Source organism: Homo sapiens, chromosome 9, assembly GCF_000001405.40.
Source record: "Homo sapiens chromosome 9, GRCh38.p14 Primary Assembly".
NCBI classification, from domain to species: domain Eukaryota; kingdom Metazoa; phylum Chordata; class Mammalia; order Primates; family Hominidae; genus Homo; species Homo sapiens.
The window spans coordinates 127,245,270-127,263,388 of record NC_000009.12 but is presented as its reverse complement, the minus strand read 5'-3'; the positions used below and the strand labels follow the sequence as shown (position 1 = coordinate 127,263,388).

The 18,119-nt window shown below is 43.5% G+C and overlaps 1 protein-coding gene across 12 annotated transcripts in view; it reads right to left on the bottom strand.

Annotated features, from left to right (window-relative positions):
• The window catches only part of GARNL3 (GTPase activating Rap/RanGAP domain like 3), a 169,048-nt gene that overhangs the window by 130,272 nt on the left and 20,657 nt on the right, over positions 1–18,119 (bottom strand). The window contains exon 1 of one of the 12 annotated variants that reach the window (XM_024447696.2): positions 17,969–18,075. The exons of 10 other annotated variants lie outside the window; for them this stretch is intronic. The gene's annotated coding sequence lies outside the window, so the exon portion shown is untranslated. Of the gene's footprint in view, positions 1–17,968; positions 18,076–18,119 lie in introns of those variants that run through there. One more of the 12 variants, XM_047423965.1, reaches the window with a different exon arrangement.

Below are 18,119 nucleotides of genomic sequence, written 5' to 3'. Positions count from 1 at the left end.
AACCCGCCGCTTCAATTTCAGCCAGGCCCACTAGGAAATTAACAACAGCAACAGCTTCTAACATGAATAGCCAATAATACGAAAAAAGCAAGGATGTAGAGCACTGGGTCCTCCCTGTGCTGCCATCAGCTCTGCTGAGGGGGTTCTGAGACACGGTGCCAATTCCCTAACTTTACCAGCAGCCAGACACAAACACATAACCCTATATCCTAGACCCACCACCTTCCTTAGATGCCTCACAGAAGGAAAACAACGTCCTATGAAAACAACCAGGGAGCAAGCTATAAAGAGAATGTCCACTATGTGTTGCCTTCTCTTCCCCCATATTACATTTCATTCAATATACCGCAGAGGGATGCTTGCTAATAGTGGGAACCAGGCTGACCTATATGGGCTGCATTTCTTGGGTTGTAGGAGGCATTCAAACCAGCCAAGTTAAAAAGACCTAGCCACTTCCCTCTTCCTTTCCCAGGCTCTCTGGCCTCTAGGCCTCCAGCACAAGGGTTAGGAGTAGAATGGCTCACCCAGAGCTCCAAGGGGAGCTTTGTTCTCCTCCCAAGGCCCCAGTGTCTGGCCTACTGCCTGGCACATAGTGGACATGCAGTAAATGCTTACTGCATTAATGAAGGTATTTGTATATCTTTTGAATCATACTAGCTAATGCCTGACAGCACCTCTTCTACCAGGGCAGGCTGCCCACTGCCACCCCCACTAATGAGCCATTATAATTCTCTGCTGGCCATTATTCCCTCAGTCCAGAGTCCTGGCCTATAAGGCAGCCACTGCTATGTGCATGCCAAAACCTGTTCTCCTTTTGTCTTGGACTTGGACTACCTTTCCTAGCCCCTCTTGCAGGATGTGTGGCCATGAGACTGAGCTCTGGCCAAGACAATATAGGCCAAAGTGATGGATATGCATCACTTCCAGCACATCCTCTGAAATGTGCCTGATCTTCTAGCCTTTGGCCAGCTGGACAGAGAGGCTGTAGAGACCTGCAGGAGGGCAGAGCTTCAAGATGGAAAAACATGGGTCTCTGATTGACCACATGGAAGGCCACACCATGAAGAACATCTGTATGGAAGGCTACACCACAAAAAACATCTGTACTAGAATATGATGTGAGCAAAATGTAAACATTTAGTTGTGTTAATCAGGTAGAATTTGAGTCTACCAGTTAAAGCTGCTGTTTTACCTGAACTAATACAGAAGTAGGTATCTTGCAGTGGGGTGCCGCAATAGCAACACCCTAAAGTAGTAGGCAGGCAGCAGCCAGTGAGGAAATGGATCTCAGAGGCTGGAAAGATAGAAATCTATATTAGATGGTAGCAAAATATTTGGTAAAACTTACACCTGCAGTCATTCAGAAGGTGGACCATGTACTCAGCAAGCCTGCAGATCTAGGGAAAGTGGCTAGAAACAATCAGAGTGAAGTTGAGCACTGTCTCCTCTTGGCTGAACTTAGCGAGGTTCTTCACAATGAAGAGACAATCCCAGGAAAGAATTGGAGGCGTTTCAAGCAAAGACAGACAAAAACAGAATGAATCTAGAGACCAAGGGCCTCATGGACTTGAGAAATCAGTTTCTGGATCCCGAACAATAACAGCTCTGGCCAAAGAAATATGGGTAGAAATGAGGGGCACCTCTACCAGACCCAGCCCTTAAAAACTTCCCATGAAGGCCGGGCGCGGTGGCTCACGCCTGTAATCCCAGCACTTTGGGAGGCCGAAGGGGGCGGATCACCTGAGGTCGGGAGTTCGAGACCAGCATGACCAACATGGAGAAACCCTGTCTCTACTAAAAAAAATACAAAATTAGCCAGGCATGGTGGTGCATGCCTGTAATCCCACCTACTTGGGAGGTTGAGGCAGGAGAATCACTTGAACCTGGGAGGCAGAGGTTGCGGTAAGCTGAGATTGTGCCATTGCACTCCAGCCTGGGCAACAAGAGCAAAACTCTATCTCAAAAAAAAAAAAAAAAAAAACCAACAAAAAAAACACCTTCCCATGAATAATCCTTGGTCTCTTTCCTTATCTGCCAGCTGCAATGGAGAGGACTCTGGGGCCCAAGAGGGATACAGCCACAATATGAAGGGGCCTGGGTCTTAAATGACCACATAGAAGATTCTTTTTTTTGAGACAGAGTTTCGCTCTTGTTGCCCAGGCTGGAGTGCAATGGCACAGTCTCAGCTCACTGCAACCTCCACCTCCTGGGTTCAAGCAATTCTCATGCCTCAGCCTCCCAAGTAGCTGGGATTACAGGTGCCCGCCACCATGCCCAGCTAATTTTTGTATTTTTAGTAGAGATGGGGTTTCACCATGTTGGCCAGGCTGGTCTCGAACTCCTGACCTCAGGTGATCTGCCTGCCTCAACCTCCCAAAGTGCTGGAATTACGGGCGTGAGCCACTGCACCCGGCCCACATAGAAGATTCTAACCAGGAGTAGCCTCACTGGGCTCTGATATGAGTGAGCAATAACTTTTATTGCCTTAAGTCACTAGGATTCAGGGTTTATCTGTTACATCAGGCAATTTTATCTTAGTTGATACAGCTCTCCATAGGTAATAGAAAGTAGTGTAAGAATAAGTTCCACAAACAGGGGTTGTCAGAGGGCTGGTGGGCCAGGATGACTCTAGATCAGGGGTTGGCAAACTACAGCCCAATTCAGCCCAGCGCTTGTTTTTGAAAGCAAAGTTTTATTGGAGCATAGCCATGCCCAGTGGTTATGAACTGTCTATGGCTGCTTTTGGATTACAACAGCAGAGTTGAATTGCTCCAACAGAGACCCATATGGCCCACAAAGCCCAAACTATTTACGAACTGACCCTTTAAAGAAAAAGTTTGTCAATCCCTGTAGTATAGTCTCCCAAATCCCTACTGTTGGTTTTAGGCCTACCCAGAAACTGATTAGTGTGTCAGTGAAGAAAATTCTGACACCATGTCAGAGGACATGTTCCTCAGACTTTAGAGTCTGAGCTTTGCAAAAATGCAGATTCCCTGGCCCTATTCCGAGAGGTTGTAAGTCAGTTAATCTGTGATTTTAACCAACAGCCAGGGGAATTCTGATGCAGGCGGTCCACAAACAATGCTTTGAAACATATTCCTTTTCCAGATGACTCAGGAATCCTGGGAAACCTGTTAACCATTCTGTAGCACTCTTTATAAGGAAGGACAAGGCTAACTTAATCCAGGTTTCTATCCATGGGAGGAGATGCAATGTAGTCCCTCAGAGCACGCACTTCAGTCACAGATATGGGTTCTCAGCCTCTCTGGGAATTAGTTCCTTCATCTGTACAATGCAATTGAAAATATCATCTACTTAGCAGGGTTATAAAGAATAAACAAGAAAAAGCAGACAAGGTTCTAAGCACAATGTCTGTTGCCCACGCTAGAGTGCAGTGGTGTAATCATAGCTCACTGCAGGCTTGAACTCCTGGGTTTAAGCGATCCTCCTACCTTAGCCCCTTGAGTAGATGGGACTACATGCCTGGTTAATTTAAAAAAATTTTTTTTTGTAGAGATGGGCGGGGGGGTCTCACAATGTGTCCATGGCTGGTCTCGAACTCTGGCCTCAAGTGATCCTCCCACCTCAGTTTCCAAAGTGCTGGGATTACAGGTATGAGCCACCACATCCAGCCAGCTCTTATTAGTAATATGAATCCCTCTCAGGTTTTTAGAAAGGGACCTGGAAAGTTGGCATAAATGATTACTAAATTTTAAAATAATTTTAAATAAAATGCTTTGCCTTTTATCCCCAGGTAGCAGTAAGGGAGACCCAGGGCCAAGCAGCAGGCTTCCCAGGGCAGCGCTGAGGATGGCATCATGCTTCAGCACTACATCTCCTCCCTAAAAGCGTTGGCCTAGCAGTTTGACCTCACCTAGAAAATACCTGGGACCCCCTGTTGCCATGACAAGGGGAAGAGACTTTGAAACCTGGCTAGAGAAAGTGACCTGAACAAGGCAAGTACCAAAAAGAACTTCAAGTTTCCCACAGGCAACGTGGTCCAGGCTCTAAATATAAACCCTTCTGCTTCGGCAATTTAACATGTGAGGATGCTGAATCACACTTCGCAGGCATGAACAGAGCTGAGGACCTCCATGTTAAATCTCTAAATATGGCCTGGGATGAGAGCAAAGATTTCCAGCTCCATGTAGAAGCTAGACAGATTTCCATGATGTAAGTCACATTCCTGGAAAGCAGGACAACCTCCTCCAAAGAGTCAAGAGTTGTTAAAACTGATAAGGAAAGAAAAGGAGTCAGCCAGCCCCCAAGGGGAAGCCAAACGCAGAGATCCAGGTCATCACTCAACTGACACTGAGATTAGTGCTGACCTCACAACAGACCCCACAAGGCCAGGACTCAGCAGTGGCTAGGCCTGGTAGAAGAGTTAAGGGCAACAGCGACAAGGGAGACTCTTCCTAGACCAGTAGAGAGAATTTGTGAGAAGTAACAGGCAGTTGTTCAGAAGCCTACCAACAGTCAGGAGCTCTAGGAAAAGGCCTCAGCCCCTGCTCCACGATAGGCAGACAGTAAGAAACAGATGGAAGGGATTCTCCTTATTGAGGGACAGAGAAGCTAAACCATGTGCCAGACTGTAGTTTTAGGCTTGTAGGGAGCCCAAGGCCTCCTAACAACAGGTGCTAGAATAGCTTCTTGCACAGAAGGGACCAGCTGTCTCTCCTCCTGAAGATAAGTAAAGTGCCACAGAAAAGCAGGGATGCGATGACATTAATTTCTTTTCTTTTTTTCTTTTGAGACAGGGTCTCACTCTTTGGCCCAGGATGGAGTGCAGTGGCAGCATCACAGCTCACTGCAGCCTCAAACTCCCAGGTTCAAGCAATCCTCCCACCTTAGCCTCTCAAATAGCTGGGACTACAGGCACACACCACCACACCCGGCTAATTTTCATATTTTTGTAGAGATAGGATTTTGCCATGCTGTCCTGGTTGGTCTCAAACTCCTGGGCTCAAGCAATCCATCTGCTTCGGCCTCCCAAAGTGTTGGGATTACAGGCGTGAGCCACTGCACCTGGCCCACATTAACTTCTAATAATGAAATGGAACAATTCTGTCCTCTTGAAGACCTTTGAGACATACGAAGTAGGAAATAAGCAGAAAGATTTCCAAAACAAAAGGGGACCCAGGAAATCAGGGCACTTTGATTCTTCTAACTCTCCAGACAGCTCCCTGCTCCCCTGTTTTGTTTCTGGGGGTACAATACCATGTGTTCCTTGTACCAGGATCTTAAGTTTACCATCCCTTAGCAAGATCCACCAACCATAAAGTGGTTAGATACTCCTGGATTTGAATTTCGGCTCCATCACACATGACCACCGTGACCTCAAACAAGTTACTTATCCTCTCTGAGCCTGTTTCCTCATTGCAACAGGGGGTTAAAACAATATCTGTCTCCATGGGAGGACTGAAAGAGATCATATGGCACACAGTAGCCACTAAATAAATGCTAGTTATTCTAACTGTCATGGATCTTACCTGTCTTGGCCATCGCCATGCCCTGATGTACCTTATAGAGCTCCTGGTTCATAACAGGCCACTTCATAAATATTTATTGAATAAATTAATTGTGAATAAATTACTACATTTGCTCTACTTGAACACAGGTGGGTTCCTTTCCCTTTCTCTTCTCCCTGCACCCCCCAACAACTGCCAGTATACATTCTCAGACATACTTTCAAGTACATTTGTAAGTTATTGTTTACCATTTTTCAGTCATCTTTCTCATTCTACTTCTCTTTTCTCTAATTCTGGAAAGCACACCTCCTACAGAATCGGTGTGTCCACTAAGTTTCTGATGCAGACATATGCCCCTGAAATTTATGTGGTTCACTAGCATTAATAAAGACTTGTGGCAATCCACTGCAAGACTCCTTTCAATAACGATCTCTATCAGTGCCTTTACTATCGTATCTCTAAAATAAAAAATAGTAACCATACCAAATGCTGGCAAGGAAGTGGAGAAGCTGGACCAGTCATCCATTGCAAGTGGGACTATAAAATTTTAAGCTAAGCCTCTTCAGAAAACAGTTTGGCAGTTTCTTATAAGTGAAATATGTAGTTATCATGTGACCCAGCAACTGCACTCTTGAGCATTTATCCCAGAAAAATGAAAATGTATGGTCAACACCCTGCACAAAAATGTTCAAAACAGCTTTATTGATAACAGCCAAAAACTGGAAACCACTTAGATGTCCTTCAAAGGGCAAATACTCAAACAAACTGTGGTACATCCACACCACAGAATACTATTGAGCAATTAAAAGGAACAAACTACTAATGTATCCAACAACTTGGATTAATCTCCAGGGAACTATGCTGAATGGAAAATGTCCATCCCAAAAGGTTACAAATTGTATGATTCATTCTTGAAATGACCAAATTATAGAGGGAGGATGGAGGGAGGTGTGGTTATAAAAGGGCAACATGAGAGAGCCTTTGGGGATGGAACTGTTCTGTATCTTGTCTGTGAATACAGGTAAATACAGGAACCTACACATGTAATAAAACTGCATGTAAAACTGGGCAAATCTAAACATCAGTGGATTGTATCAACATCAATTTCCTGCTTGCAATACAGTACTATAGTTACTATAGTTACACAAGATGCTGCCCCTGGGGGAAACCTGGTAAAGGGTACATGAGATGTCTCTGTGTTATTTCTTACCACTGCACATGAATCTATAATTATCTCAAAATAAAAAGTTTAATTTAAAATACTGTATCTGAGTGAAAATTCTTTCACTCACTTAATAAACGGTTACTGAGTACCTACAAGGTACCAGGCACTGTGCCAGGTGCTGAACCTGAGATATGCGGTCCCTGCTCTCATACAGCTTACAGTGCAGTGGGAAAGAAAGACACAAAGTACACAGGACTTCACAGGAACAAAAATATTGTGCAAGCAAAGCACAATATGTATATAGCAAATCTGGCAAACTGTAAAACAGCCTCTTTTTATCCCCTTCGTCAGTAGCATATGCAGTCTTCGGGTGTGGGTGCCCACAGCAGAAGCCGGGGAGGTCTGTCACACTCTTCTCAGCTCAAGACCCATCATCCAGAAACCTGGGAAACATTACTAACTAAGTGGTTCCTATGAAGTATGATGTTTTGCACACCTGCTCCCTCCTTTCTTAATTCTTCAGTGACAGCAACCTTGGCTTCTCTTTTCCTGTAAGGTCAACACTTGAGGGTTTTCCAGCCCAGAGTATAATTTGGTATGGGAAACATCACTCCATGTGGGATCTATAAATGCATGACCAAATTGTATTAAACGGAAACTTAATATAAGGAAAATAATTCAGTAGGCAACATATGTTGTGGCATACCTCCCTTAACCACCTGCAGATCTACTTCTTTGGGGAAATCCCTTGAAAGTCTATCTCTCCAGGTTCATAAGGTTTCCCTGCTGGGATTCACAAGATCTGCCCCCAGCTGTGCCCAGACCTTGAAGGGATGCCTACTATTTGGAACAGGTGTTTCTGCAATCCCTAGGAAGTGAGATTCCTAGAGAACACCAAGGTCATTGTGATTCTGCTGCTCAGTGTGGTCTTTTGATATGAGCTGGTGAGAAATGCAATGTCCCAGGACCCACCCCAGACCTAAGAAACTGAATCAGCATTTTAACAAGATTTCCCTGGGATTCATATGCACATTGAAATCTGAGAAGCACTGATTCTAGATCTTGGTTCTCAAACCTACCTGTGTATCAGAACCACCTGGAATTTTGTCTCTAACTTGTTTTATTATCAAATATTTCAAGATACAGAATAATGAAGAATAATATAATGAACATTACAGATATACTTAAAACCCTTGTGTACCTCTCCCTGACCCCATTTACATCTCTCCCTCCCCTGAAACAATCACTAATTGGACTTATACTGCCTGCTTATAGTTTTATATTTATACTATGTACTTACTCATTTCCAATATACTGCATTGTTTAGCATGTTTTAAAAATTTACACAAGTAAATACTATACCATGCATATCTTCCTGCAACTAGCTCATCTGGCTGAACAATTTGCTCTTGAGATTTGTTCATGGTGATGCCTGTAGCTCTAACCCACCCACTTTAGCTGCTATATGATATCCTGCTGCATCAATATCCTCCATTCTCCTATTGATGGACATTTTGGTTGTTTCCAATGTTTAAACAATGCTGTAATGAACATCCTTTTACATGCCACCTTGAATACCAGTGCAATCATATCCCTAGATTCCATACCCAGGAGTGAAGCTGCAAGGTCATGATGTGTGCACTCTTATTTTTTCTACATAGTGTCACATTTGCTTTCCGAAGTGAGTACGCCAATTTACCCTCTCATGAGCAGCATATGCATTCTAGTTGCTCCACAGTCTAGCTAACACTTGGGATTGTCAGGCATTAGTTTTTGCCAGTCTGAAGAGTATGAAATGGTGTCTCACTGAGGTACGGCTTTAATTTGCATTCCTCTGATAGCTCAAGAGCTTGAACATCTTTTTCTTTCCTTATTGGCCTTTTGGGCTACCTGTTCCATGATTTGCCTATTCCAAATCTTTTGTCCCCCTCCTTTTTTGTATGTTATTGGTCTTTTTCCAATTAATTGGTAGTTTTTTTTTTTTTTTGAGACAGAATCTCGCTCTGTCACCCAGGCTGGAGTGCAGTGGCACGATCTTGGCTCATTGTAACCTCCACCTCCCAGGTTCAAACGATTTTCCTGCCTCAGTCTCCCGAGTGGCTGGGATTACAGGCACGTGCCACCACATCTGGTTAATTTTTGTATTTTTAGTAGAGACGGGGTTTCACCATGTTGGCCAGGCTGGTCTCAAACTCCTGATCTCAAGTGATCCGCCTGCCTCGGCCTCCCAAAGTGCTGGGATTACAGGCGTGAGAATTGGTAGATATTATTTGTATATTCTGAATACCAACCCATTTTTTGTTAACAAATTACAGATGTCTTCTTCCAGATAGTTGTTTTTCTTTTTAAATTTTGTTTCTGATATCTTTGATCATGCATAAGTTTTCAAATTCTAATGCAGACATTTTCAATCTTTTCCTTTATGGTCTTTGTTTTTCTGACTTAAGAAATCCTTCACCATCATGATTTCCTAAAGAGTCTCTATTGTTCCATGCAAAAGTTTCAAAGTTTGCTTTATAATTTTTTTCATCTAAATCAGTAAATGTCCAGTTCCTACCCTAGACCTCCTCAATTAGAATCTTCGGGAATGGGATCCAAGCACCTAAATTTTAAACTAAAATACATTTAATAGGTGATTTTGTTACAGTTACCCTGAGAGACGCTGACCAACTCATTTCCCACCCACCAGATGCCAATGAAAGGTATCTTTTCTACAAAATCCCATGAAGCCATCTCATCTCTGTCTCTTTCACTGGGTTAGAAGAGACTTCAGAGACTTCCAGGTCCAGAGACTTAAGGACCTTCTAGTGTCTAATCTTTTATCTGCAATTGTGTATCCTTTACCAGATACTTGAAAAATAGCCATCCAGTCTCTACTTGCACACTCTCAGTGATAAGAAACACCCCCACAACCCAGGTCCTCCCTTCTTCCTGTTAAACAGATTTTTCTATATTGAATTGAAATCCATCACACCTTTATCTCCACCAGCTGGTCCTACACCTACACCCTTCATCTTTTCTTAACTTCCTCACCATCACTCCCACACCCCCAACCACCTGCCTAGTCTGGCACCACTCCCCGCTCAGCACTCCAGCCATACTGCCTTTCTCCTATTCCCTTTCATTTGCTGAGCTGCCCTTAGCACCTAGAATGCTCCCTCCAAACTCCTCCTTCTTCCTGACTCTCCCTCCCAAACTAGGAATTACAAAGAGGGAATCTGATTAACAACCGCCTCCCCACCTACAATTTAAGCTTCACAATGGGTTCCCTGTTTTCAGTACTAAGCCTAAGCACCTAACATACTATCTGGTACAGACTTAGTTCTTAGTAGGGTTTTGTTAAATGAAAGTGTGAATGAATGCAAGCAAGCCAGCCAGTCCTTTGGGGCCATATAAAACAAGTTAAAATCACTTGTATAGGAAAGCCCTTCAAATATCTCAAATATCTGAGGAGAGCCATCATGCCCCCTTGTTTTTTTTCCTTCTGTAAAGGAGGCTGGGAGTAACAGGGGAGGGTGAGGCCAGCTATATTGGGGTAGTGTCTAAAGAAGGGACAGGGCAAACACACAGACCAGTTCATAACTTTCTGTAGGGTCAAGCCCATGAGTCAATCCCTCAGCTCACAATTCCACTAACAGCTGAAGTGAACTGCCTTATACAGCATATTCATGAAATTTGTTTTTGAGTCAGACATAAAAATGCTATAAATGTTGCCTCAGGTTCATCTCAAAAAATTCATTTCAGAGGTTAATACAATGCCACTAATATAAGTGAACAAAGAAAATACTATGGGAGCAATCATAATGAATAGATTGTGACATGGCTCACTAGCTGTCAGTTCACGATGACATTCCCCATGTCTAGAGATTGATGTTTCTCAATACATAGATAATGCAATTAAGTGGAACTGACTGACACCATAACATTAAAAAATCAATCAGCTACAACTGTCAAAATTCATCCCACTGTATATTTAAGATATCTGCATTTTATTGCATGTAAATTATAGCTTAACAAAAAATTCCAAAACAAAGATCACATACAGAAAATATAGAACTTGAACTTAAACTTAAATAAATATCTACATGTGTAGAGAAATTATATGTGCATAAATGTTGCTTGGTATCTACTTAGCCGTGTCTGAGTCACCACTAACTCACTGCTTGATCTTAGGCAATAAACATCGCCTTCATGGACCTCAGTTCCTACAACTATATAATGGGGTTTGATGGTTTGATTAATAAATTAACTCAACAAATATTTATCATCATAGTGCCTTCCCATTGGATTTAATGAAAAAAGACGTATGAAGCACTTATTGTGGTGTCCAGCTTACACAATAAATATTTGAATAAACAGGCTGTGTATCCATGCTTCTCATCAACAACAGAGAAGAAAAAAGGTCTCTGTAGATGGCTAGGGGCAAGCCAGAATTTGCTGTAGTCTACAATTTTGTTGCTTTAGGAACATAACCATGAGGGAAGAAAAACTTTTCCTCTACCCTCTTAGTTCTTTCCCTGAGGCCTGCAAATTTAACTGGAAAAAGACAAATTGACAAGAGAAAAAGTATACAAGTGTTATGTTTAATTTTACATGCAGGGAGGTTCCACAGAAAACAAATAAAAATCCAAAAAGGCACTTACACTGGGGGGCTTATATACTATTTTGACAAAGGGCGATAATTTGTGGAGAAATGACTAGACAAAGGAAAAAGGGTTTGGGGTTTCTAGAGCTGGTAACTTATTGGAAGGTATATGTGGGGGAAACTAACGGTAGTTAAAGGTTATTTAGTAGGGTTTGTCTCATCTCTATCTCCATCTCTGATGATAAGTGTTGTTCTCCTCTTGGTGCAGTTAAGGGGAGGGGGCATCCTCACAAGGGGAAATTTATGCCCTGCTTTTAGGCAGATAGAAAAAGGGCAGAGAGTTCTTCCTGTGTCTGCTTTTTTTCAACTGCCTTCTGCTCAAAATAATCCTTTTGCCAAAGTGGTGTATCTTGGGGTGGCATATTCTGATCCCTTTCATTGCCAATACCAATATGTGAGAAATTCTTAGTCTCAAACATAAAAATAAATGCTGTGGAACTGACATGAATTTTGCCTTAATGGATCGGGAGGCACAGAGCTGCTTTTCAAGTGGTCTCTATATTGTATTCCAAATTTCTGGACCAATTTAGGTCCACTCCATGTTATCTGTGCTCTGTTTTTCTTCAGACACATTCAGACCACGTAGTGGAAGAAAAGCAGCTTACTCTGTGCTTTTAAGGTCAAACTATATTTTTGAAAGATTTTCTAAAATGTTTACTTCACTAACCTGCTCTGATTCTGAGATGCTCTCCTGAAAAAAACAAAACAAAACAAAAAAAACTATGAAATCAATGGTGATTGAGAGTGATGAGGGAAGGGGGGATGTTCTTCAAAGAAAGCAAAATAATAGATAAGCCAAACTCACGGAAATATAGGAAGCAAAAGTATTTGAACTAAGAACATTTACTATAGGAGACGACAAGAAAACAACCAGGCTGTTTCTAAGGACAAAATTAGATTTACAAAAATGAGTGCTGACTAAGGTGAATTTAGGGCAGGGCAGCCCAAACAATTGCCTTTTGCCTCTTAAAAGCACTGATTAAAATAGTAATACTATCTAATCCCTATTTATAGTGTGCCCTTATGGTGTGCTGTACTGTACTTTGAGATGAGGTTAGCACCAAAAATGGGTTACTGGTCCTTGAGGAATATGAAAGTTGAAAGACCCGAAAACTGTAATAGTCAAAGGAATAGAATTCTTAGTAATGGCATAACCTCCTTGAGGAAAAATGATTACTTTTAGCAGTTATTCCTGCAGGGGATGCTGAGCTCAACAGTGAGCAGGGCATTCAGAAAAGGGCCAGGACGTCCTGGCAGGGAGCGAGACCATCCTCCTCCCTGTTCTTAGGGCACAAGAAGCAGCAATAAACAAGTTCTGTTCTGTGCTTGCAGTCTATGAGCAGCATCCTTAACTCTGTGTCACCTTGAATGATGAAGATCCACATCCCTCTCCCTTCAATTCAGTCCACCTCCCTCCCTGAAAATCTCGACTGTGCCTGAGTCTTCACATATTAGCTCTGTTCTAATGACTCTCCAAACCAAACCTCCAACTCGAATCTTTCTCCCCAACTGCAAACTCAGACTTCAAAATACTGAACATGGTTCCATGGATACCCCAGCAGCCCCCAAAATATCATGTGCCCCTAATCAGACTTACTGCCACTCCTGCATTCCTGTCTCTGTTAGCAGAGGGGCTGCCCTCTTGCCAGTCACTCAAGCTACAAAGTTCAGAGTCATCTCCCATGTCTTCTCTCACATCCCACATCTACTCAGTCACCAGGCCTGCTACTGCTCCCACCACCATGTTGCTTTTGAAACGTGTATGACTGTATCTATGTATTTGTATTTTATTATTTGAAGAGATAACACATTCAGTTGGTTCAAAACTCAGAGTATACAAGGCTGTACAGGAAAAAGTCTCCCCATCTTCTGCCTCCCAGCCCCCATTTCCTCTCCCCACAGGCAACCTTTATTTTTTCTTGCATAACTCCCAGAGGTATTGTATGTATTTAAAAGGAAAAGAAATACATCTTCCCCTTTCCCCTTTTTTTACACAAATGGTAGCACACTACACACAATCCCACTCCTTGTTCTTTTCATTTAATGTATCTCAGCAATCCTTCCATCAGTAACAAAAAAGCTCTTGTATTCTTTCTTTTTTTTCACACGGAGTTTCACTCGTTGCCCAGGCTAGAGCCCAGTGGTGCAATCTCGGCTCCCTGCAACCTCTGCCTCTTGGGTTCAAGTGATTCTTCTGCCTCAGCCTCCCGAGTAGCTGGGATTACAGGCGTCCACCACCACATCTGGCTAATTTTTTGTATTTTTAGTAGAGACGGGGTTTCACCATGTTGGCCAGGCTGGTCTCAAACTCCTGACCTCAGGTGATCCACCCGCCTCGGCCTCGCAAAGTGCTGGGATTACAGGCATGAGCCACCACACCTGGGCCTCTTGTATTCTTTCTTATATTGAGTAGACATACCATATTTTACTTAACCAAGCCCCTAGCTAAATGGTTTTCAATATTTTCTATTACTAATGATGCTGCAATGCATAATCTTTTATTTATTTATCTATTTATTTATTTTAAGACAAGTTCTCACTCTATCACCCAGGCAGAAGTACAGTGACACGATCACGGCTCATTGCAGCCTCAACTTCCCGGGCTCAGGTGATCCTCCCACCTCAGCCTCCCAGGTAGCTGAGACCACAGGCACACACCACCATGCCCAGCTAATTTTCCTGCATCTTTGGTAGAGAAGGGGTTTCATCATGTTGCCCGGGCTGGTCTTGAACTCCTGGGCTCAAGTGATCCACCCACCTCAGCCTCCCAAAGTGCTGGGATTACAGGTGTGAGCCACTGCACCTGGTCCATAATCTTGTATATGCCATTTTGCACATGAGAATACTTGTAGAATTCCACCCTGTCATAGTTTCTTGCCCCTTCTTCCCCTTTCCATTTTTACTTTCTTTACTTTAGCTCAGATCTTCACTGCTACAGAGGCCTTCTAACTGGCATCTCTACTCTAGTAACCTTAACTTACACACAACAAATAGTAAGCACTTTTTACATGCCAGGTACTCTATTAAGACAGGGAAGAAAAAGGAAATAAAAAAGAAAACCCAGCCCCAGCCCAAAAATCCTCACCTGTCTCATAGTCTTTGGAGCTTTGGGAACTTATTAATAAACCAACCCTTTCTTGTCTTTTTGGAATTAGCTGGGAATTAGTGACAGAAGTCAGGCAAATGAAAAACAAAATACTGGCCAGGCGTGGTGGCTCACTCCTGTAATCCAAGCACTTTGGGAGGCTGAGGCAGGCAGATCTCTTTGAGTTCAGGAGTTCAAGACCAGCCCGGGCAACATGGCGAAACCATGTCTCTACCAAAAATACAAAAACATTAACTGGGCATGGTGGCGCACACCTGTGGTCCTAGCTAATCAGGAGGCTGAGGTGGGAGGATCACTTGAGCCCAGGAAATGGAGGCTGCAGTGAACCGAGATCACACCACTGCACTCCAGCTTGGACAATGGAGTGAGACCCTGTCTCAACAAAAAAAAAAAAAAAAAAAAAAAAAAGAAAAGAAAAAAGCAGAAGAAAATAAGAAATTTCCTTGCTGTCAGTGTTTCATTGACAAACAAAGCTGAGTCCAAAAGCAAATGGGCTTCCTACTACTTCCCACAAGTTTACACCCTGGGGCAACCCTCCTGTGGGAGAGTCTGATCTGCAGACAGGCAGGCACCTGCCAGGTCAGCTGCAAGGGAAATAGTCTCAGGACTATTTCAACAGGGGAATGGAAACAGATGGGCCCCCACGCCTACCTCTAGAAGACTTGGGTGTGTTTTCCTACATAGAAACAGGAGGCGAAGTAATACACAAGCTCTGTGGGCAACCAGATCCCAAAAGGGAGAGAGGAAATGGGGCAGGGGACGAGTCAGCCGCCCTTCCAACCTCTCTTCTCCATGGGAGTAAAGCAGAAGTTTCTTAATGGAAACACAACGGCAGGGGAATAGAATTCCTCCTAACAGTAAACTAAAAGCTTACTTTCTGGCACTTGTTTTAAAATACAGTAGCCCTACACTTAGGAGCAAACTAGGTATTTCAAAGCTTCTGAAGGCTATTAAAAAGGGTCTAAAATACAAACTTCACATGTTTTCACTTATTTGTGGAACTAAATATTAAAATAATTGAACTCATGGAGATAGAGAGTAGGAGGAGGGCTACCAGAGGCTGGGAAGGATAGTAGGGGACAGGGGGTAGTGGTAAGCTTTAATTAATGAGTACGAAAAAATAGAAAGGATGAGTAAGACCTAGTATTTGCTAGCACAACAAGGTGACTATAGTAAAAAATAATTGAATTGTACATTTTTAAATAACTAAAAGAGTATAATTGCGTTATTTGTAACACAAAGAATAAATGCTTAAGGCGAGGGATACCCCAATTACCCTGATGTGATTATAACACATTGCATAACTGTATCAAAATATCTCACGTATCCCATAAATATATACACCTACTATGTACCCACAAAAACTAAAAACAAATAATAAAAAAAAGGTAAAAAAATATAAATAACAAAATTGCCTAATATTTGTTTAATGCCTTGGTGACAAACTCAAACACATGGCAACTTTGCTCAAAAGATCAAAAACTAAACTATGGACAGTAGGAGACAGGGAGGCTGGCAAGCATCAAGAAGCACGGGGAAAGAGAGAAAAGGAGGTAAAGGAATAGGAGACAACCATCTGACTTGACAGCATTGAGGCCCTGGATCTAATCAGCCCTGAAGCCAGATCCGTCCCTTTTCTTAGTTTGGGTTCCATGAACCCATATATTCTCTTTTTGGCCTAAGCTAATTTGAGTTGGGTTTCTGTCACTTACAACCAACAAGCGCCTCACTAGTCCAGCCCGTAACTGGGCTCTTCAGTGTACACAACAGTGAAACTAATTTTCTAAAGCAGACATCAAACCACCACTTGCCTGTCTCAAAAGCCATTCAGCACCTCCCAATGACTCCAGGATTCAGTACAACATCTTGCACAATATGTCCCTCAATTTGACTTTCCAGACTTTCACTACTTCACCACACAAGAGGCAAACTAAGACAGCTGTTATTCCTCAAAAATGCGCTGAAAGAGTGTCCCTGCTTTGTGCCTTTGCCATGCCAATCTCGCCATCTAGAATCCTCTCCTCCCCAATCTCTGCCTATTAACATTGACGCAAAAAAAAAAAAAAAAAAAAAGAAGGAAGGTCAACTCCTTTCTCAAGGTCCATTTCACCTTCTCTCCAAGAAGACTTTCCTAAATGCCTCCTGTTCCCAAAGATGTTACTGTACCCTTCTTCAGCCCTGACAGCAATTTTTTTTTTGAGGCAGAGTCTCACTCTGTTGCCCAGGCTGGAGTGCTGTGATGCAATCTCGGCTCACTGCAATCCCCGCCTCCTGGGCTAAAGTGATTCTCCTGCCTCAGCCTCCCACGTAGCTGGGACTACAGGCACATGTCACCCCACCTGGCTGATTTTTTGTATTTTTAGTAGAGACGGGGTTTCACCTTGTTGGCCAGGCTGGTCTCAAACTCCTGACCTCAGGTGATCCACCCACCTTGGCCTCTCAAAGTCCTGGGATTAAGGGCATAAGCCACCGCTCCTGGCCCCGATATCATTTTCTACATGACCTTTGCTTTATTCTATCTTATATTTTGTGCTTTCTCATCTCAGTGCCCTCTTATTAATGACAACACCAACTACTCAGCTCCCTGAGTTGAAGCTCTGAGTCTCACTTCCTCACCCCACAACCCATACGCTTACCAGATCCACTCTAATCTTTCTCAAAATACTTCCCAAATCAATCCCACCATTCCTGTTGCTCATCAGAACTCTTAACATCTACCTTCACATCTTCTGCTCTGATAGGTCTCCCTGCCACCAGCCTCATCCTACTGAAATCCAGTTGCCTACTGACGCCAATTATCTTTCCAACTTTCAAATCTGAGCATGCTATGCCCTCCTCTAGAGAGTCAAGACCAATGGCTCCCACTCCCCAATGGGTTGATTTTTGTCTCCCTTCACAGGCTCATTGCCCACCACTCCCTAAGAAGCACCAACTTCAAAGTAGGTCTTTGAGGTACTGTGGTACCTAGTGTAAGACCCAACTTGGTGCTTGGTCAACTTCATTGGTGTTCAGCACTGGACTGTTGTTATATATACTTCACTGGACAGCACCGAGAAGCCCTGTGGACGCTGCCATCCCATAAATATTTTTCTCCTGATTGCACTCCTGAGTGCGCTGAGGTTAAGAGATGGGCACTGGACCAGACAGACCGAAGTCCAATCCCTGTTCTGTCACTTCCAAGCGGTGCGTCCCAGAAAAGGCTGGGCCTCCGCACCCTTACCTGTAAAGTGGAGATAACAGCACCTATCTCATTGGGGTTTTGTGAATAAATGAGAAAATGCATTTAGGATGCTTGGGCAAGGTGCCTGGTACACAGGTGATCAATAAATATTTGTTCAGTGAAGGAGTTAATGAATAGGCGGCCCACAAAATGGTAGTGGTTCTTAAAGACGCATCTTTCCAGGGAACCCAATCTCTGGCTGCCTTGCAATTTGGTTTCAAGTCCGGTCCCTAAGTCTGGGGTCCAGAGCAAGGCCTGACTCCACCCATTTCTACATGCCGCTGGGTGAGATCAGCGGGTGAGGCCACGCAAGTCCAGAATCTGCCGCTGGGTTCCTTCCTAAGGACGGAGGTGTGCACACTACCTGGTCCTATCCGGCAGCGATCGCAGTCCCGCAGCCTGCACCCCCGTGCGCGTGGCAGCTTTGCCATCCCTCCGGCCGCCAATCACCACGGCTCGGTCCCACCCCTAATCGGATTCACCAATAGGGCCGGAAGGCGGCCCCTCGGGGTGCT